At 36.6% G+C, this 21,548-nt stretch overlaps 1 protein-coding gene across 19 annotated transcripts in view; it reads left to right on the top strand.

Annotated features, from left to right (window-relative positions):
• REPS1 (RALBP1 associated Eps domain containing 1) overlaps positions 1 to 21,548 on the top strand; it is an 84,761-nt gene that overhangs the window by 34,346 nt on the left and 28,867 nt on the right. For 13 of the 19 annotated variants that reach the window (NM_001286612.2, XM_047419432.1, XM_005267179.5 and 10 more), the window contains exons 2-8: positions 5,995 to 6,118; positions 8,211 to 8,407; positions 8,536 to 8,689; positions 9,286 to 9,410; positions 9,893 to 10,055; positions 10,332 to 10,395; positions 12,419 to 12,573. In NM_001286612.2, the coding sequence (NP_001273541.1) occupies positions 5,995 to 6,118; positions 8,211 to 8,407; positions 8,536 to 8,689; positions 9,286 to 9,410; positions 9,893 to 10,055; positions 10,332 to 10,395; positions 12,419 to 12,573 (982 nt within the window). Of the gene's footprint in view, positions 1 to 1,539; positions 2,867 to 5,994; positions 6,119 to 8,210; positions 8,408 to 8,535; positions 8,690 to 9,285; positions 9,411 to 9,892; positions 10,056 to 10,331; positions 10,396 to 12,418; positions 12,574 to 21,548 lie in introns of those variants that run through there. The other 6 variants (XM_047419433.1, XM_047419434.1, XM_017011389.2 and 3 more) reach the window with 2 other exon arrangements.

Below are 21,548 nucleotides of genomic sequence, written 5' to 3'. Positions count from 1 at the left end.
TACCACAGTAAACATGGGGGTGCAGTGTCTCTCTGATATAATAATTTCCTTTCCTTGGATAAATTCTCAGTAGTAGGATTGCTGGATCATATGGTAGTTCTATTTGTAGCTTTTTGAGGGACCTCATACTGTTCTCCATAGTGGTTATAACTAGTTTGCATTCCCACCAAAAGTATATGAGTTCCCTTTTTTCTGCATCCTCGCCAGCATTTTTTTTTTTTTTTTTGATAATAGCCAGCCTCCCTGGGGTGAGATGATACCTCATTGTGGTTTTGATTTGCATTTCCTTGATGATTAATAGTGATGAGCAGTTTTTCATGTATTTGTTGACCATGCATATGACTTCCTTTGAGAAATGTGATTTGGGATCATTTGCCCATTTAAAAATCAGTTTTGTTTTGTTTTGTTTTTTGCTGTTGAGATATTTCAGCTCCTTGTATATTTTAGATATTAATCTTCTGTTGGATGGTTAGTTTCCAGATATTTTCTCCCATTCTGTAAGTTGTCTTTTACTCTGTTGATTGCTTTCTTTGCTGTGCAGAAGTTTTTAGTTTGATACAATCCCATTTGTTTATTTTTGCTTTTGTTGCCTATGCTTTTGAGATCTTATTTATAAAATATTTGTCCACACTGATGTACCGAAGCATTTCCTGTCTGTTTTCTTCTAGTAGTTTTATTATTTTGGGTGCTATATTTAGGTATTAGATGCATTTTGAGTTGATTTTTATATAGGGTGAGAGGTAGGCATCTAATTTCATTCATAAAATATATAATTTGGCGCAATGGCTCACACCTGTAGTCCCAGCACTTTGGGAGGCTGAGGCGGGCAGATCACTTGAGGTCAGGAGTTCGAGACCAGCCTGACCAACATGGAGAAACCCCATTTCTACTAAAAATACAAAATTTGCTGTGTGTGGTGGCACGTGCCTGTAATCCCAGCTACTTGGGATGCTGAGACAGGAGAATCGCTTGAACGCAGGAGGTGGAGGTTGTGGTGAGCCGAGATTGTGCCATTGCACTCCAGCCTGGGTGACAAGAGTTTTTTGAGAAACTGTGTCTCAAAAAAAAAAAAACAAAAACAAAAAACTATCTGTCTGTATCTCCATATTTCATATGGATATCCAGTTTTCCCAGCACTGTTTATTGAAGAGACTGTCCTTTCCCCAATGAGTGTTCTTGGCACCTTTGTCAAAAATCATTTGGCTGTAGGCTGGGTGTGGTGGCTCATGCCTGTAATCCTAGCACTTTGAGAGACTGAGGCAGGCGGATCACTTGAGGTCAGGAGATCAAGACCAGCCTGGCCAACATGGTGAAACTCCATCTCTACTAAAAATACAAAAATTAGCCAGGGGTATTGGTGGACACCTGTAATCCCAGCTACTCAGGAGGCTGAGGCAGGAGAATCGCTTGTACCCAGGAGGTGGAGGTTGCAGTCAGCTGAGATCGCGCCATTGCTCTCCAGCTCTGGGTGACAGAGCAGGACTCTGTCTCAGAGGAAAAAAAAAAAGAAAAAAAAATGCTACTGATTTTTGTATATTGGTTTTGTTATTTTGCAGCTTTACTGAGTTTATCAGATCTGAGAGTTTTTTGGTAGAGTCTTTAGATTTTTCCATTTATATAAGATCATATTACCTGCAAACAGGGACAATTTGACTTCTTCCTTTCCAGTTCAGATGCCCTTTCTTTCTTTCTCTTCCCTAATTGCCCTGGCTAGGAGGAATTGTTACGTCTGATGGGGATGTAGGAACTTTAAATTCTATATCCTTAACTACTATTTTATTTTACCATGAGCATGTACATTTTATAACATTAAAAAAACAAAGCATGGTAGTTTTCAGTATTATAGCAACAATCACTAACTGGCCCTTGGTGATTTAGATTTCCTTGGTGAGTTAGAAATCTAATGGGAGCAGTTCGGGAATCTATATCCTAACAGGTATTTCAAGTGGTTCCCATGGTCAGATAACTGTGCTAGAGAAAAAGTGAACTGCATACAAATATGCACAATTAAGATTAAGTGGAAATCACTATAGAAAGGAGATTAAAAGAATGAGGCTGCTTTGAATGATGCTCAGCTAAGAAATTATAAAATTTGGAGATGATAAATGATTTTCTAGGAAATTATCAAATCTTAGAGATGGTAAACCTAGCTTATTTCAGATAGAATGGAAGAAACTGAAAAACATATGAGAGCTATTGCCTCACCTGTATCACAGGTGAATTATTTCAAATCTTCATGAAACACCTAATTCCTAATCTATTTAAAGTATTACAGAGCAGAGAGAAAAAAGTAGTTTGCGAGCTCTGCTGAAAAAGCCAATATAACACCAACTCCAAAGCACGGCAAAGATTATGTATGCTTTAAAACTTAATTGTTCTAAGATTGTGGTTAAAATATTTTATAAATATTATTTGAAAAAGTAATACACCACGTCTAAATGAAATTCATTCCAGGAATCAAAGGAAGGTTCTATGTTAGGAAATCTGTTAATATACTTACTTATATCTTAATATACTTAATCTCTTATATCTTATTGATATACTTATTAATGGACCAAAGAGAAAAATTATGATCTTTTAGTTTTCTGTGCAAAATCTGCATATGATAAAATTAACATCTTTATGTGGTTTTTGAAAATATAAAACCCAAAACAAGATTATTAGAAGAACAACAGAACTAGAACTAGCTTTTCTTTTTCTTTTCTTTTCTTTTTTTTTTGAGATGGAGTTTCCCTCTTGTTGCCCAGGCTGGAGTGCTATGGCATGATCTCGGCTCACTGCAACCTCTGCCCCCCCGGGTTCAAGTGATTCTTCTGCCTCAGCCTCCTGAGTAGCTGGGATTACAAGCATGTGCCACCACGCCCGGGTAATTTTGTATTTTTAGTAGAGACGGGGTTTCTTCATGTTGGTCAGGCCGGCCTCGAACTCCTGACTTCGTAATTCGCCCACCTTGGCTCCCAAAGTGCTGCGATTACAGGCGTGAGCTGCCGCGCCCGGCCTTAAGAGTTTCTTTAATCAGAGATATTGGCAGAGTGTTAGCCAGTATCATGCTTAATGATAAAACACTAGAAATGATCTTGTTAAAGTTTGGAACAAGACCATAAATCAGTTGCTGCCCCAAGTAAAATCTCAGTTTATTCTGACAAATGATTCTAAGGATTATTTAGAAAAATAAGTATATGAGGATAATTCAAAAATTTCTAAATAGCAAAAAAATTGAGGGGTGGACTAATCCTATCAGATGTTTAAATATTATAAAGCTAAAGTAATTAAAACACTGGGTTACAGCTCCAGGACTAGCATACAAAACGGTAACATAAGGAGCCCAGAAATAAGCACATATAAATATAGCAGTTGCTTTTCAAGTTAATGGAGAAAAGATGAGTTTTTAAATAAATGGTTAACTTATTCTTTTTTTTTGCGGGGGGAGACAGAGTCTTGCTCTGTTGCCCAGGCTTGAGTGAAGTAAAACCATCATAGCTTACTGCAGCCTTGAACTCCTAGGCAAAAGTGATCCTCCCACTTCAGCCTCCTGAGTAGTTGGGACTATAGGCATGTGCCACCACATCCAGTTAATTTTTAACTAAATTTTTTTTCGTATAGATGAGATCTCACCATGTTGCCAGGGCTGGTCTTGAACTCCTGGCCTCAAGCAGTCCTCCTACCTTGGCCTCCCAGAGTGTTGCAATTACAGGCATGAACCACTGCTCCTGGCCTCAATAGTTAACTATTGAGGAGGATCAAAAGGATATCTGATTTGTTTCTCATTCCAAAATAAATTCCAGTTTGGTCAGACTTGTATATTTTCAATATTAATCATAAACATTCTAGAAGAAAACATGTATAAAGACCTTTTTTCTAAGTCTAGCAAACCCAAAAGTCCTAAAGGGGAAATGACAAGCTTGTATAAAAATTGGAAAATTCTGTATCACCAAAACAGCTTTTTTGGAAAAAACAGATAAACTAGAAAACAACATGTGCAATATGATCTGGTTTCTGCCTAAGTCATCAGCTCCATCTGCTGCATTCCCTCCTCCCCATCAATTCTACACACACTTACAGCTACACTCTGGTCTTTCCTTCCTGAGGATGCTCAGTAAATAGTCATTGAATAAATGAATTAATTCCATGACAGTTTGCAGGTCAATATGTATAATATAATAAAACCTTTTTTTTTTTTATGAGATGGAGTTTCAGTCTGTCACCCAGTCTGGAGGGCAGTGGCATGATCTCGGCTCACTGCAACCTCCATCTCCCGAGTTCAAATGATCCTCTCACCTCAGCCCCCCGAGTACTTAGAATTACCAGTGCGCACCACCACACCTGGCTAACTTTTGTATTTTTAGTAGACATGGGTTTCACCGTGTTGGCCAGACTGGTCTTGAACTCTTGATCCCAAGTAATCTGCCCTCCTTGGCCTCCCAAAGTGCTGTGATTACAGGCATGAGCCACTACCCCTGGCCACAATAAAACTTCTTAAAATGAGTAAAGAAGATTAACAGTCCATTTAAAGTTGCCAGAGAACAAGTTGGGCAAGTCAGGAAAAGAAATGCAAATGGCTAACAAATATAAAACTTTTAATAAATACCAATTAAAACAGCATTGAGATTCTGTTTCCCTTCTTGAACACTACCTCCTCATTTCTAACCATTTCCCTGGTGTCTTCCCAAAATGTCAACAAACCATACTGTGATCTCCTTTTAGGTCTTCCCTCTGTCTAGCATATACCTGGCATATGTTAGTTGCATTGTTATATAAACAAAAGTATTTAAGATATGTAATGAACCTCTAAGAGGCGTCAAGTGGGCAGAAGAGTAGAGGATTGGGGCTGCATGACCTTGCCTTTTTAAACTCCCCTTTTCCTCATAGTTCCCTTGATGGTGTTAACCTGCCTGTTTATTCTCTTTGCCCTTTTACATTTCTTCAGAAGGACATGCTCCTTAGTGGCAGGAACAGGAACTTCTTCCAGTGCTGGTCAGCCAGCAAAAATGACTCTTTTTTGTGTATGTAAATAAATGGCTGTTATTGTTGTGATACAATTGCTTAATCATTAATAGGTCCTTTTTTTGAAGTCCTGTGAATAGTTTTATTCAGACTTAATACCACAGCATCTCAGATACCTTATCTTCCTTTGAGTGTTATGGAAAAATAGACTAAAACTGCTCTCTCTATACAAAAGTTTGTGTTATTTGAAAAGATACAACAGGCATGCCTAGTGTTTATTTTAAGATAAGATTATAATATCTGCATAGTAGAAACCTCCAGCTTTTAGAGTTATGATTTTGTAATCTGAAATCCTATTTTTTGAGTCTAATATTTACTTGTGCTAGCAAGTCTAGAAATACTTGTTGAAAGACTGGAATGATTAATGTAGATCCTTGAACACTTTCATGCTCTAAAAAAGACAAATTTTGTTTGTTTTAAAGAAGAGTAGTGTAGCCATATTAAACACATTTGGAAAATAAGAGGGAAAACCCGACTCAATCTCATCTGAAAAAATTGTGATAGACTTTTAAAAAATAGTTTCCAAATTTGTATTTATGTGGTTAAAATTAGGTATCTTGCCTTTCTTCCCCACTTGATAAATCCTTAGTATTTTTCCATGTTGTTATATCATTTAAAGACCGTCACTTTAAATGGCTGCATAATAGTCTCTTAGTCACATGGTCCTATTGTATGTGCAGTGCTTATGAATAAGAGTGGGTGGTACGTTGTTTCTTTAAAAATGTGACTCATAACAAAAATTTATTCTAAGAAAATTGCTAATCATATGGATTTTGATAAATAGGAGAATGATGACCTTATTGCAAAGCAGTGACTTTTTGTTTGTAAACATATGAACCTGAAACTTGAGGAAGTTGGTTGTCAGTTGTGAGTATTATACCATCTATTAGATAGATATTTTGAGACGTTACAAACAAGTTGGGTAGCTGCTTATTTTTGAAGGGAGATTTTTGTTGTGAATCTTAATGTTAACATTATGTTATTTTATAGATCATGGAGCTTTGTGGTGCAACAAGACTTGGTTATTTTGGAAGAAGTCAGTTCTACATTGCTTTGAAACTTGTAGCTGTTGCCCAGTCTGGTTTCCCTTTAAGAGTGGAAAGTATAAATACAGGTAAATATAGAGTACACTAGTAACCGAAAGAAAATAGGCTTCTATTACAAATGAAGTCAAGTCAATAGAACTCTTGTGTCTTTCTGATCTTATAGTGGCATTTGTGACCTTGAGTGAAGTGTCGTGACTTTATTCCCACTACCTTGCATTTCTCACTTGAAAATACTAGAAAAATATGTCTGACCTGTATTACGGCATAGTATATGTACTTCATCTGTATTTGACTATATGTACTGTTCAAATGGCAATTTTTTAAGAATTAATTTACCAAAAGTTGTTTAGAAATATTTTAGGCGAATAGTTTTATTAAGGTAAATGATAAATTACAGCGACCATCTTCATGTATAGCGTCCCTGTGTTCTTCATTTCCAATAAAACAACATTATACTTTGTATTTTTGTTTGTTTGTTTGTTTGGGAAGGCTGTGGAGGCTTCAGTTGAAATTAAGAAGTAACAGTTAACCTAAACTTTTTGATCGATAAGAGACAATATTAAAATATTGGCAGACTAAAATCTAGTTATAGACATCTGACCACATTACAAGTTTGTATTAGTCCATTTTAACACTGCTATAAAGAAATCCCTGAGACTGGGTAATGTATAAACAAGAGAGGTTTAATTGACTCACTTCTGCATAGCTCGGGAGGCCACAGGAAACCTACAATCGTGGCAGAACGTAAATGGAAAGCAAGGCACATCTTATGTGGCCACAGGAGAGAGAGAGAGAGAGAGAGAGAGAGAGAGAGAGAGAGAGCAAGGGGGAATAGCCACAGACATTTAAACCATCAGATCTCATGAGAACTTGCTCACTATCACAAGAGCAGCATGGGGGAACCGCCCCCATGATCTAATCACCTCCCATGTGGGAATTACAATTCAAGATGAGATTTGGGTGGGAACACAGAGTCAAACCATATCGAAGTGTTACATCAGATAATTTGTTTTTCAAGTATTTAGAGGCTTGTTGATGTGAAAGAAGATAGAAATTCTATAAAGAAAGGCACTTAAATGCAGAGGGTTCTTTCATTTTCATAGAGTAAAGGGGAAAGAGAAAAATTAAGATTTTAAAAATAATCTGTACAGAAAAATTTCTGTAAAATTCTGTAAATATCAGAATTTGTAGAAATAGTTTTAAGTACCAGTTTAGTTTATTGGTCGGTAGAGGTTTTCATTGTGGACCTCTAGTTTGCCACACATCATTCTTCTAGTGTTGGGAGTTTACATTCTTTTCAGGTAATTTTGAATTCTTTTACATGTATATTGAATAAGCTTAATAGTTTCCTTCCTTCATGTGGAGGTTCTAAACAGAGACGAAAGTAATCATGTAATGGAGGTAAGTACGCTTTCCTCTGAAATGATTTTGTAGCTGTATTTTTTCTGGTCTAAAAGTATCACTTATTTACCTGCAAACAGTTTCTCAGTCCTTCATCTTTCTCCTCTATTTAAAATTGAATGTAGAATATCTGGCTGTAGGAGAAACATAAGCCAGACTACAGTGGATAGATAGAATACTCTACCATATTTTTGGGGGGTGAACAATAAGGTATTTTTAAGAATTTCTGCCATGAAAATTTCTAAATCTAGTCTCAGACTTAGTGACATATTCTGTGTTTTACTTAGAGGTCTAAAATCTTACTTTAAAGACCCGGTGTGAGTAGAAGCAGCCTAGGCTTTGGGGTCTGACTGATCTAGGTTTATATCTTAACTGTCAGTTACTACAAGCATGACCTTGGCATCATGGAGCCTCAGTTTTCTTATCTGTAAATAGGAGCTTTGCAGGGGTACTGTGGTTACGAGGTGAAATAAATATTCAGTGGCAAGTATAGGGCCAAACATACGTAGACATTTGATGTAGCCATTGTTATCACTCATTAGAAGGACAATTTGGTTTTATTACTTCTTTCTAGATAAGAGTCTCCCTAAATAATGTAAGGGAGATGGTGGTCCAAATTTTGTGGTGATAGACATTTTGTGCCTCTTGTTTCTGTATCCATTTTTACAAAAATTCTAATATCTAATTCATGTCTTATTTTAGTTTTCAATATATATGTCCTTTTTTATTTTGAAGTAATGATTATTTTGTGGTTAACAGTAAAGGACCTTCCTCTGCCAAGATTTGTTGCTTCAAAGAATGAACAGGAATCTCGCCATGCAGCCTCATATTCTTCAGATTCTGAAAATCAAGGGTCGTATTCTGGTGTAATTCCCCCACCACCTGGCAGGGGGCAAGTGAAAAAGGGATCCGTAAGCCATGATACGGTTCAGCCTCGTACATCTGCAGATGCACAGGTAATCACATGCATGTAAATATTAGCAGTTGATGCCCTGTGCAAATGCTTCACTAAGGCTCTTATTGGTAGCTTAATAATTAAAATGTCTCCTTAAAGTTAAAATTTTAAAATAATATTCTTTTCTAGGAACCTGCATCCCCAGTAGTTTCACCACAGCAATCCCCACCAACTTCTCCACACACATGGAGGAAGCACAGCCGTCATCCCAGCGGTGGGAATAGTGAGAGGCCTCTCGCGGGACCTGGGCCATTTTGGTCTCCCTTTGGTGAAGCACAATCAGGTATTTAGAGATTGATTGATTAGAGTGTCATTGTGTTGCCCAGGCTGGTCTTGCACTCCTGGGTTCAAATGATCCTCCTGCCTCAGCCTCCTGAGTAGGTGGGGATTATAGGCTTGTGCCACAGAACCTGGCTTAGAGATTTTTTGAAAGTAACAATTATTTAGGGTTGTAAATTGAAGGAAACTTGATAATATTCCTTCAGGAGTTGCCTCCCAGATAGTTTTTAATTGTAAGTTTAAGTTAAATAGAAGCAAAAACCAACTATGGAAATTTGTAAGTGGATACATTGCTTTGAAAAGTGGTAATTGCATTTATGTGTATCTGTGATGTTTAGACAAGTTTATGGATACCAGATTCTCTAAAGGTAAAATGAATAATTATTTCCCAGAATATTATGTATATATTACATACATTTTATTGACAAGGAGAGCACAAAATAATTGAAGATATTTAAATGAGGTATAATTTCTAATAGAACAGAAAAGATTCCATTTTGGAAATTGTTAGATTTCTTCAGAGTAAGAGTTGGAAAGAAAACTTCCTAGTAACTTTTTTCCTCAAACATGAGTCAGCATGTTTACCCATTCTCCTTATAGGTTCTTCTGCTGGTGATGCAGTGTGGTCAGGGCATTCCCCACCTCCACCTCAAGAAAACTGGGTCAGTTTTGCAGATACTCCACCAACCAGTACTCTTTTAACCATGCATCCTGCTTCTGTCCAGGTGTGACATTTTATTGGTATTGCATTTTTATTTGCTTCATTCAGAGTATTGCTCCAGTCGTTGTTTTTATATTTTGCTGTTGCAGATTTTATAAATGCAAATCCACTCATTTATTTAAAAGCAAAATTCTGCTCTGTGCATTTCAAATCTGTTATCATTGGAATGTTTCAGCTGATTTTATTTCTGTTTCTGATTCCCTAGTGAAGTTTTGAAAGGTTTCTGCATCTGGAAATATATTTGCTTGGCTTTCTTAGCACATTTTCATAACTTTCTGTTGCTTACATAATTGCTGTCATTCTACTCGTTTCTATAATCATTGTGCAAAAACATATCCAATAATCTGACTGTAACAGATGTGTGGTTTTACATTTTAAATATACACAAAAAGCAAGTTTTACTTTCAAAGATAAATAACCTAGCAATCTTGGTCCATATAATCATGTAGGTAGATATTGTACTGAGGAAAAAATGTTTCATTACAGGACCAGACAACAGTACGAACTGTAGCATCAGCTACAACTGCCATTGAAATTCGTAGGCAATCCAGTAGTTATGATGATCCCTGGAAAATAACAGATGAACAAAGACAGTATTATGTAAATCAGTTTAAAACCATTCAGCCTGATCTAAACGGATTTATTCCAGGTGAGTTGTTGAAAACAGAAGTTCTTCTAGATGGGACAGGAGAATCTCAATTTCATAATATCAAAGACATTGTTTTATTGGTCATAGATTTTAATTATAAAATAATTATCAGATTATTTGTCTAAAAAGAATTTATAATCACTGGGGGCCAAAAACATGACATATTCACATATTAAAAATATCTTTTCCCAGTTAAAAAAGTCTAAGACTCTTACATTCTGTTCGTGGATCCGTAAGTTCAGAATAACATTAAACAACACTGTTTTAATATTTCAGGATCTGCAGCTAAAGAGTTTTTTACAAAATCAAAACTTCCTATTCTTGAACTTTCTCATATTTGGTAAGTGTGGTATATCATTAGTTGGGTAACTGGGTTGCTTCCAAGGAGTTTCTAGCAGATAGATTTTAGAGCCTTAAAAAATAAACAACTAACCCCTTCAAGAATGCTGTCAAAGAACTCAGTATTGCCTTACAATAGCCAGCTTCTCTCTTATTCTGCAGAAAAGAAATAAGTGATACTGATACAGTAGTTCTTTGTAAAGAGCTAAAATTCTTTAAGCTGTATCAGCTGTTTTTTTGTTGCTAGCATAATGTATGAGATAAAAGTTAGTTTGCACATACATGGTTATATTTATCCCATTGGTTTTTTATCAAGTTTAGTAAGTCCTATACCATGCCATAAGTTTAGGAATGGTGTTAGCTTCCATTTAACCAGAGACTTAAGAATAGCTGTGTTGGAATATGGTTCGAATTGGCTATTAGAACACAAAGTGTAATCACAAATTACTTTATAAAAATAGGCCAGGGCCGGGTGCGGTGGCTCATACCTGTAATCTTAGCACTTTGGGAGGCCGAGGCAGGTGGATTACCTGAGCTCAGGAGTTTGAGACCAGCCTGGGCAACATGGTGAAACCCTGTCTCTACAGAAAAATTAGCCGGGCATGGTGGCACATGCCTGTAATCCCAACTACTGGGGAGGCTGAGGCACGAGATTCGCTTGAACCTGGGAGGTGGAGGTTGCAGTGAGCCAAGATTGTGCCATTTCACTCCAGCCAGGGTGACAGAACGAGATTCTGTCTCAAAAAAACAAAACAAGCAAAAAGAAAACACAAACTGGGTGTGGTGGTTCACGCCTGTAATTCCAGCACTTTGGGAAGCCAAGGCAGGCAGATTGCTTGAGCCCAGGAGTTCAAGACCAGCCTGAGCAACATGGTGAAACCCCATCTCTATTAAAAAGAAAAAAATTAGCAAGGTGTGGTGGTGCAAGCCTGTAGTCCTGGCTGCTTGGGAGGCTTACATGGGAGGATTGCTTGAGTCCAGGAAGCAGAGTTTGCAGTGAGCTGAGGTCATACCACAGCACTGTAGCCTGGGCAACAGAGTGAGACTCTGTCTCAAAAATAAATAAAAAACGATTATCAGATAAACATAAATGTTAATTCCAGTGTGTATCAATGTTATTTCTCTATATTCTAAATCATTTTTAATAGGTTTTTGGTAGCATAGAGTGCTGTAGTACAAGGTAGGTAGATAACACCTAAAACTGAAAACTCAAAAACTAGTAATATATGCATGCTATTTATAGTTTAAGGCAATAAAGACAAAAGTGGTTGTCTGTATCTAGGAAAGGGCATAGACAGCAAGGTGGAGTGGCTGTATTTCTGTTTTAAGCCTTGCAGTTCTACTTAGTGATTTAAAGTACGTACATGTCAGCCGGGTGCGGTGGCTCACGCTTGTAATCCCAGCACTTTGGGAGCCCAAGGCAGGTGGATCACATGAGGTCAGGAGTTCGAGACCAGCCTGGCCAAAATTAGCCAGGCATGGTGACGCGTACCTGTAATCCCAGCTACTCAGGAAGCTGAGGCAAGGGAATCACTTGAACCCAGGAGGTGGAGGTTGCAGTGGGCCGAGATCGTGCCACTGCACTCCAGCCTGGGTGACAGAGCGAGATTCCATCTCAAAAAAAATAAAAACAAAAAATAAAGTACATACATGGTGAATTTTGATAACATAAAAACAGACTTTTGAAAAATTTCACTAACTTATTACGTATGCCTTCTAAAAATGCATGTGAATTATAGGTCATTCTTTTTGGTGACCTTAATTATTGGGGCTGCTTTTTAGAGAATTTCAAACACACAGGAAAGCTTAAAGAAGAGTACCATAAGCATTCATATACTACCACCTAGATTCTGGAGGTAACATTTTGCTACATTTGCTATATTACACATCTTTCTGTGTATGGGATTTTTATAATTACTGAGTTCTTGCACTTTCTCATGGAAAATATTTCTCTTGCTTCTTTTTGAGAAATAAAAGGATCCAAAGCGGAATGTGATTATATTCACAATAAACTTATCTTCTAGGGAACTCTCAGACTTTGATAAAGATGGTGCATTGACACTGGATGAGTTTTGTGCTGCTTTTCATCTGGTGGTTGCTAGGAAGAATGGCTATGATTTACCAGAAAAACTTCCTGAAAGCTTAATGCCCAAACTGATTGATTTGGAAGATTCAGCAGGTAAGATTGGGAGCTGAAGAGAGCTGTTTGCATGCCTTGATAAACATAATGCTTGATTCTGAAAGAAAAATCAAGATAGAGGTTAACCTTAGCTTAATAGCTTAGATATTTCATCAAGTGTACATAGATTTGTCATCAGAATAGGATGTATGGGCCAAGCTTGAATTTGTCTTATTCAGTCTATTTTTAAAAATAAAGATGAGTAATATATACCACTATTTTACCTTTGTATTTGTGACTTGCCGAGATTTGAAGAGCATTTCAGTGTCTTGTTATTTTGCCATCCTTTAATTGTGATATATATTGTCTCGAGTGGATAGAGTAACCCATCTTCATTATAAACATTTTTCTCTTTAATACATCTTAATTTGTTGAAGGGAAATTACTTGGTTCATCATTAGACCTTTATAGTTGTAAGTATTTTTCTTTAAAATACCACGCTCTCTCCTGCAGACTCTAAAGAAATCTGGACTTTCTGTGTATGATTTTAGAGAATGCTGTGTTGTTAACAAGAATGCTAAATGTTCATATTTATTGGGACCTTTCTTTCTTTCTTCCTTTTCTTTTTTTTTTTCTTTTTTCTTTTTTTTGAGTTGGAGTCTCGTTCTGTCACCAGGCTGGAGTGCAGTGGCACGATCTCGGCTCACTGCAGTCTCCACCTCCCGGGTTCAAGCGATTCTCCTGCCTCAGCCTCCTTAAGTAGATGGGACTACAGGCACGCACCACCATGCCCCGCTAATTTTTGTATTTTTAGTAGAGATAGGGTTTCACCATGTTGGCCAGGATGGTCTCTATCTCTTGACCTCATGATCTGCCCGCCTTGGCCTCCCAAAGTGCTGGGATTACAGGCGTGAGCCACCATGCCCAGCCTGGACCTTTCTTTAAAAAGAAAAAGAATATCAAGGGCTAAAAATTAGTAAATTTTTCTTAAATTCTGAATGAATAAAAGGAAACCTAATGTTTAATTCTTAATGAGCCTAATTAAAATAAATTACTGTCTTCAGTGTTTCCATCTATACTCTCATTTGTATATGATGATGGAAAGAATTTTATACTTTTAAAAGGGAAGTTCAAATAGAATTTGGGTCTCAAATGGGCATTTATCTATCAGGCAGCATCTCTTTAACCTAAAAATATACATGGTCTGACTTAGTTGTCTAAATTACGCAGAAGGAATCAGATGCATGAAATTACTGTCACAAAAGAGAACAGTCTCCTTGGAGTCAGTAATCTGAATGTGCTTCTAGTTTTGCTAATTTAATCTGTGACCCTGGGCAAGTTCTAATCATTTACTGTATTTTTCCCTTCTGTTTCTCCACCTGAAATGTGGATTTGATGCCATTCACATTTCAGGACCTGAATTGTACACTGACCTTTTATCAACGAATAGGTTGATTGTAAAAATATGGCATTGATTTTAATTTCTTAAGCACATTTTTCTATGATAATCCTAGGATTTTGGGATCATTTCAGTTGTGAAGCGTCAGCCTCTGACTTGAGCTGAAAGCTTAGTATCTTTATTAGGTAATTTTGATTCAAAGTACTTTAATTTACCTACTTAAGAAATAAAAACAACTTCTTTGTTAAACACCTATGATAGTAACCAAAAGAGAAGAACATGTGGTAACTTCACACTTTCAGTGTCATTGATTTAGAAATTGGACTTGGACCTAGAGCTTTTATATGACTTCAAGCCTTTGAAAACCGACAGCACAATAATACAAGAAACTAATTTAAATGAAGTTTAATCTCTTGTAGGTGATTTTGTAGAGGCTTGTCTGATTCTGTCGTCTGTTATATTTGTCAGTGAATCTGGCTTTTGCATATATTTAATTTTTCCTTTAATTTAAATAAAAAACAAGTTCTTTGTAAATTGGATCTATAAGGTTGATGGTTCAGGAAGAAATTTTTTTCTGGGCATTTATCTTTTTGTCTAATTTTACACCTGTTAGATCTGTTTAACAAAGACAGACTGATTTTATTGCCTGTGTATATCTGTGCACTGTTGCTCTAAATATAATTTTAAAAGTATCACAGACCCAGATAGTTTTTTCCCCCCTCACAGCATATGGTTTTCTGACCAAATTTGTTGTAAACATTTGGATCACACGGTATTATATTACATTCAAATCTGCTTTTCATATTTACAAATGATATATTTTGGTATTCTGTTGATTCTGGGGTGATGTAATATAACTTATCATTTTTCTTCCACCTATCATAAACCTGAGATTCACATGACAAAAGGTCCTTTGAGTATAGAAATTGTCTTGTGACACTGTGGGTCCGTCAGTATCCATAAAAATCATTATAAAAAAAATTAGCAGGGTGTGGTGGTGTGCACTTGTTGTCCCAGCTACTCAGGAAGCTGAGGCAGGAGAATTGCTTGAACCCAGGAGGCGGAGGTTGCAGTGAGCCGAGATCACGCCACTGCATTCCAGCCTGGGTGACAGAGTGAGGCTCCATCTAAAAAAAAAAAAAAAATTATAAAAATAGCTGTGTTTTTAAAAGGTCACGGTTAAGAGGATAATACTCAAATAGTTTCTTTCGGCTGACATTAGAATTTATTGTAAATATTCCTCTGTGGAGCCTTTCTGACTATAGGCAGAGGTGGTTTCTCTCATTTCTGATCTCTCATAGCATTTTCTACATGCTAATTACTGAAACATACCACACTAAATCCTGTTTTGTTTTTTTTCCCCCATCACTGTACTCTGAATTCCTTGAAACAAGGGAAATGTATCCTATTTATTGTAGTATGCTCAAAACATACAACTTTGCCAGGCACTGCACTAATATTGGATGAATTAATTCTACATGTGTGCCATTTTCAAAGGAAGATATTTTTCTTGACGTTTTTCTACCTTTGAAAATACAGCGATTTGTTACCCTAGGTTTATGATGTTGGAACATACTGAAACATTAGTTCCACAAATATTCTATACTTAAAGTTTAACTCTTAAGAAGCAAATAGATGGTGAGCAGTGGTCATTTGAGTTACAGCTCCTTGGAGTAACATGCTAGGCTTTCTATAGGCATGCAAACATGGTTGGGGTAAATGTGCATTTTTTCCAAAATTGCTTGAACAGGTATGCATAGATAAAATAGAACTACTAAGGTTCATAGGCAGAAGTACTTCTGTCGACCTGAATTAGAATATTTAATAACATCAGCACTGAATTTAACAGCTAAAATAGAAAGGGAGACTTGATTTTTGTTGTTTTACAAAAGAAAGCATACAAAAATTCATCTGCAGAAAGAGCTTTCTGAAGCTGAATTAAAGAATATTTAGCTTTTTAAGAATGTTTGTCTTCTTTAAAAAAAAAAAAGATTAAGATGACCTGCTACAAACACGTTGAGGTACTCTACATTTTAATATCTAAAGAATCTTCTCCTTTGCAAAGCACAGTTGCAATTTTACATGTACTTCTGTGGTTGTTTGATACATATCTTTCTCTCAGACTAGAGCCTTCTAGGAAGGTAGGAACTGGATCACTTTTGTTCATTATATCTCAGTGCCTAGCAAGGTGCAAATTGAGTACAGGAATAGACAGACATTCACATTGTTGAAATGATTAAATGACTGAGCCAATGATTTTTAACTGTTTTCTACCTTTACACCACACTGCTCACATGTGCAACTCAGCAGTCTCTGAGATGCTGAAAGAAGGAAAGGGATGTGTGCTTCCCTGTCTCCATCTCCTTCTGCATGATCCCTACTTTACACAGTAGATTTGGGCACATGTTTCATTGTTAGGGTGCGTTGCATGGATCTACAAACTCTGAGAAGTACTTCCAACACGAATTTTTTTTAAGCCAGAGAAGAGAAGGCACATGAAGACTTTCCATGAAGAGTTTACTAGAAATCCACATAAATTCAGATTTGAGATTACCTTGGTGCAAGTAAATCACTGTTAAGAGTTTCTCTTATATTCATCCAGAAATTTTTAACATATATATAAAAACCTACACACAGGTATTGGTGTTTATACAGACGCAATCATACTATACATCCTTCATTGTTTTTTTCTTATAATGTTGGACATCTTTATACTTTATAATTGATATGGTTTGGCTGTGTCCCCACCCAAATCTCATCTTGAATTCTTATGTTTGTGGGAGGGACCCGGTGGGAGGTAATTGAATCATGGGGGCAGGTCTTTCCCATGCTTTCTCATGATAGTAAATAGTCTCATGAGATCTGATGGTATTATAAGGGGAGTTTCCCTGCACAAGCTCTCTCTTTGCCTCCTGCCATCCATGTAAGATGTGACTTGCTCCTCCTTGCCTTCCACCATGATTGTGAAGCCTCCCCAGCCATGTGGAACTGTAAGTCCATTAAACCTCTTTCTTTTGTAAATTGCCCAGTCTTGGTATGTCTTTGTCAGCAATGTGAAAATGGACTAATAGAATAATATATAGAGCTATCACATTTATGATTCAAGGTATTCCATAATATGATGTACCTTAATTTAACCAGTTTCTTATTGATGGATTTTGGGGTTGTTTTCTGGCTTTATCTTTAAAACACTGCTGCAGTGAACATGCTTATATGTATATCTTTGTTTTGTACAAATAACCTAGAATCTTTGTTTTTGAAAATTCGTTATTCAGATACCCTTAGTTGCAGAGGAAAAAATAATGAAAATACGCACTAATGCTTGTCATTAGCTTTCTAATTAAGAAATTACCTCCCACCTCTACCCCCCCCCAAACATACTCTGTCCCTGTCTGTCTCCCCCCCCACCCTGCCGTCTCTCTCTGTCGTGTGTCATTTCTTTCCAGATATTTGGCTGTTGTATCTGATAAATCAGTACAGTTGAATTACAGATATTAGTAAAGATACACCATTTAATGAAATTGGTCAAAATAAATAGAACTCAAATCCTGACAAAGACATTGACAAGCAAGGGCAGATAATACTTGAAGGGCAAAAACTCTATGAGGGTGATAGCAATAGTAGGAGCTTTAAAAGATTATGGTTTTGGTCAGGCACAGTGGCTCCCAGAAGCGCTTTGGTAGGCCAAGGTGGGAGGATCACTTGAGGCTAGGAGTTCGAGGTTACAGTAAGCTATGATCTCACCACTGCACTTTAGCCTGGGTGACAAAGCGAGACCCTGTCTCTAAAAAAAAAGATTATGATTTCAAATTCAGCGGATTAGTAAGTGTCCTTGGGAGTAATTAATGATACTCATAATTATTTTTTGTAGAAGTGACCTTTTTCCTTTGCAATTGTGCTATGAAAGTCGAAAGTGAATGAAAGATGAACATCTCTGTCTTCCTCTGTTAGAGAACTCCATGGGAATGGTACCCTTGTCTTGTTCAGTACTGGATCTTGAGAGCCTGGAACCCTATAGACCCTCAGTAAATGTTCACTGACTCAATTAGTGCTTTTTAATTTTGCCACCAAATTATACCCCCAAAAAAAGTAACATTATCTTTCTCCCTGGCCACCACTCCCCCGCGCCCCCCCCCCCCGCCAAGATGGAGTCTTGCTCTGTTGCCCAGGCTGGAGTGCTGCGGTGTGATCTTGGCTCACTGCAACCTCCCCCTCCCAGGTTCAAGCAATTCTCCTGCCTCAGCCTCCCGAGTAGCTGGGATTACAGGCATGCGCCACCATGTCTGGCTAATTTTTGTATTTTTAGTAGAGACGGGGTTTCACCATGTTGGCCAGACTGGTCTCGAGCTTCTGACCTCGTGAAGCGCCTGCCTCGGTCTTCCATTCCCAAAGTGTTGGGATTACAGGCATGAGCCACCACTTTTTCTTTCATTCTTTGTTCTTTATACTCCATTTCCACTATTTTCTCTGTAGATTTTTAAGACAAAGCTCCAATTAACTGTTTTCCTCTTTATGGAATTTTAGTATTTATTTTGAATGGATTAACTTTAAATGGATTTTTTCCCATGTTTAGCTATCTTTGGATAATAGGAACCTCCTATATATTGTAGGTAATATTCTTTGAACTATAATAATTGAGTCAGATGTTGAGCAGTACTGTCAAATGTTGATAAATACTGTAAAAACTCAGCAAGTTCAGTTTAATAAGAATTTTGGGTGAATATTTTGTTTCTTTTCAAATCTTGTTGGACACATTTTTACTTTGATTTTTTTAAACCTTTGGTTTTAATTGAAAACAATTAGTTTTCTACATAGACCCCCTTTTAAGGTAGTCTTACCGAATAAGTTTCATAGACCCTCATAAGGTCTGCTTACTAAGTTTCCATTTTGTGAAGTGTTGGGGAAAAGTGGAGTTCATTTTGGAAATAGAACTTACTAGTTTTTTGATGCATATAATATCATTCAAGAAAAAACAAAGCACATCTTAAATTTTATCTTTCTACATATGCGTTGCTTATGCCTGTCTTTTAAATATGAATGAAAAAGTTAACATTTGTAGTTTTCCTTGAAGACGTAAAAGTCATGAACACTCGATTGTTTTTCATTTTCCGTATTTTTTTCTTACAAGAATAATACTCTTCAAGTAAAAGTTATTTTTGCCTTGATAAAGTTATTAATGAGATTGGAACATTGAACCATCGTTATTGAATAACTTTCTAGATTTGTTTGCTGCTTGAAAGCAAAATAAGTTTTAAACTGTAAGACTTTAAGGGAGTGTATATATTTCTGTAAGATTAATAACAGCCAGCAGTCACTTTCGAGACAATTTTTTAGTATATCAAGTATAATACTAAGAAAATAAGAGAAATTTAGGATGTGTAGGTTACAAAGCTAGAATAAAAACAAAGCTCTGAGAAAGAGGTTGTTTAGCAGGTACACTGTACTGAATTGAATCGGGGAACTTTCCAGATTCTTTGAAAGGATAGATAGGTGAAACTTCTTCCAGTGTTTGCAAACTTAAAACAAATGTAGAATAAGCCGTAGGTCAGTGTGATCATACTGGGTTGTCTCTTTCAGACACACTTTTGTACGTGGAAATACTTTTTGCGTAACAGCCCTTTTGGGGTTAACTTTAACGAATAATTTAGGCTCATGCTCTTCTTTTTCAGCCCTGATGCTCTGATGATGTCAGGGGCAGAGCAGAACCCACAGGAGGGAGGCAGGGTTGACACAGTGTTCCAGCAGGAGGCTAGGTTGGAACACTGCATCAGGTAAGAGTAAAACTACACCCCTGCCTCCGGAAAAATACAGTCTTAAAGACTAACATTTGTGGGTGGGCAGGAAGCTCTTTGTTGGAGTACTTATTTGGAGCAAAGTTGAAGGAGGTACAGTTTATTTCTAGACTGAATGGTTGTCCATAGACTCTTGGTTTCTAGAACATAGGAAAGAAGCAATGCGTAATTTGCTAATTTATCCCAGAAACAATTTTTGGATTTTCTAGGACAGCAATTTTTCAAACTTTTAAATCTTTTTTTCTTTGGTTGGTTTTTGTTGTTGTTGTCGTCGTCGTTTATTTCAATGTGGAACAAACTTTTAAATCTTAAGACCCCTTTAGGCATTCTTAAAATTTGTGGACCCCAAGAGTCTTTGTTTACATGGGTTAAATCTATCAATACTTACATTATTAGAAATTAAAACTGATTAATTTTTGTTTTTACTTTATGTAAAAAAGCAATAACAAATCCATTACCTATTGGCATAAATATTTTTAGGAAAATAACCATATTCTCCAAAATTAAAGAAAAAATTGTAAAAGGGGTGGCATTATTTTACATTTTTGCAAATTTCTTTTACATCTGTCTTAATAGAAGACAACGAAATTGTCATATTTGCTTCCACATTGTCTGTTGGATATGTTGTTTTGTTTGAGGTATACCAGGGGTCTAAAAACTAAGCCCTGTGAGATAGATCCAGCCTACTGCTCATTTTTGACTAGCCCACAAGCTGAGAATATTTTTTCTTTTTAACTGTTGAAATGAAAAGAATAATATTTTATTACACATTAAAAATTGTATGAAATTCAAATTTCAGTGTCCATAAAAATTGTATTAGAACACAGCAGTGCTCATCACTTATTTATGAATTGTCTAGGACTGCCTTTGCACCATAATGGTGGAGCTGAATTGCTGCAACAGATACCTTATAGCCACAAAACCTAAAATAGTTACTATCTGGCCTAATATAGAAAAAGTTTCCAAATTAAATCTAGCCTCACACAATAAAAGGAAGGACTATTTCATGGCTTTTTCAGATAACGTAATTATTCTTTGGTACTACATCAAAGCACAAATGGTATTTCTTAAAGGTTACTTGCAGTGTGGAAACTGAAGCCACTTTAATGCATTTTTTTGTACTTTAACTTGATTTTATACCGTAATGCATTGGATATTTGTAAAATATCAGTTCATTGAGTTACACAGATCTTTCAGATGTTGACATCTTTCATTATAAAAATATTTAAAAAGTGCATTTGCTGATTTCACAACATATCAAGCCTTTAAGTGCTGGAAGCTCTTGAGATTATGGACGTGGATATACATTTTCCAAAATTTGAGTTTTCCCTTGAAACCTTCAGCATTGTCATTAGTAACCATTGGAAACAAATACTGAAAACATTGCTTTCCTTGAAATGACAAGCTCACTTTGTTCATTTTTGAAAAAATGCCCGCGCGATACCCAAGTCCGAATTATTATAGATTATCAGCTGTTCTTTCAGGAAAAATGGTGTTCCACGAAAAAAGTGGCTTGTTCAGCTTACAACTGAATCACACAAGTACTTTTCTCTGAGACAACCATTGTACTTACATATGCAGCAGAAATGCTGTGTGTATGTATTTCCCATTTTGACACACAGAGGAAGATGTGTTTTTAGGGCTGAGATTTAATAAAATTAATTTGTACTGCTTCATGAACATTCATAAGTGAGATCAGCATGCATATTTATTTATATTTAATGCTTATGTATGTGGGGGGGGGTAAGGAATACAATAACTGTAAGTGAAGAATACAATAACTATATTTTGTCGCCACTGCCTTGATTCAGTGCAAATGTCAACATGGGAAAAGCATTATTACA

Source organism: Homo sapiens, chromosome 6 (assembly GCF_000001405.40).
Source record: "Homo sapiens chromosome 6, GRCh38.p14 Primary Assembly".
Classification (NCBI taxonomy): domain Eukaryota; kingdom Metazoa; phylum Chordata; class Mammalia; order Primates; family Hominidae; genus Homo; species Homo sapiens.
This window is presented reverse-complemented; position numbering and strand designations above follow the sequence as displayed.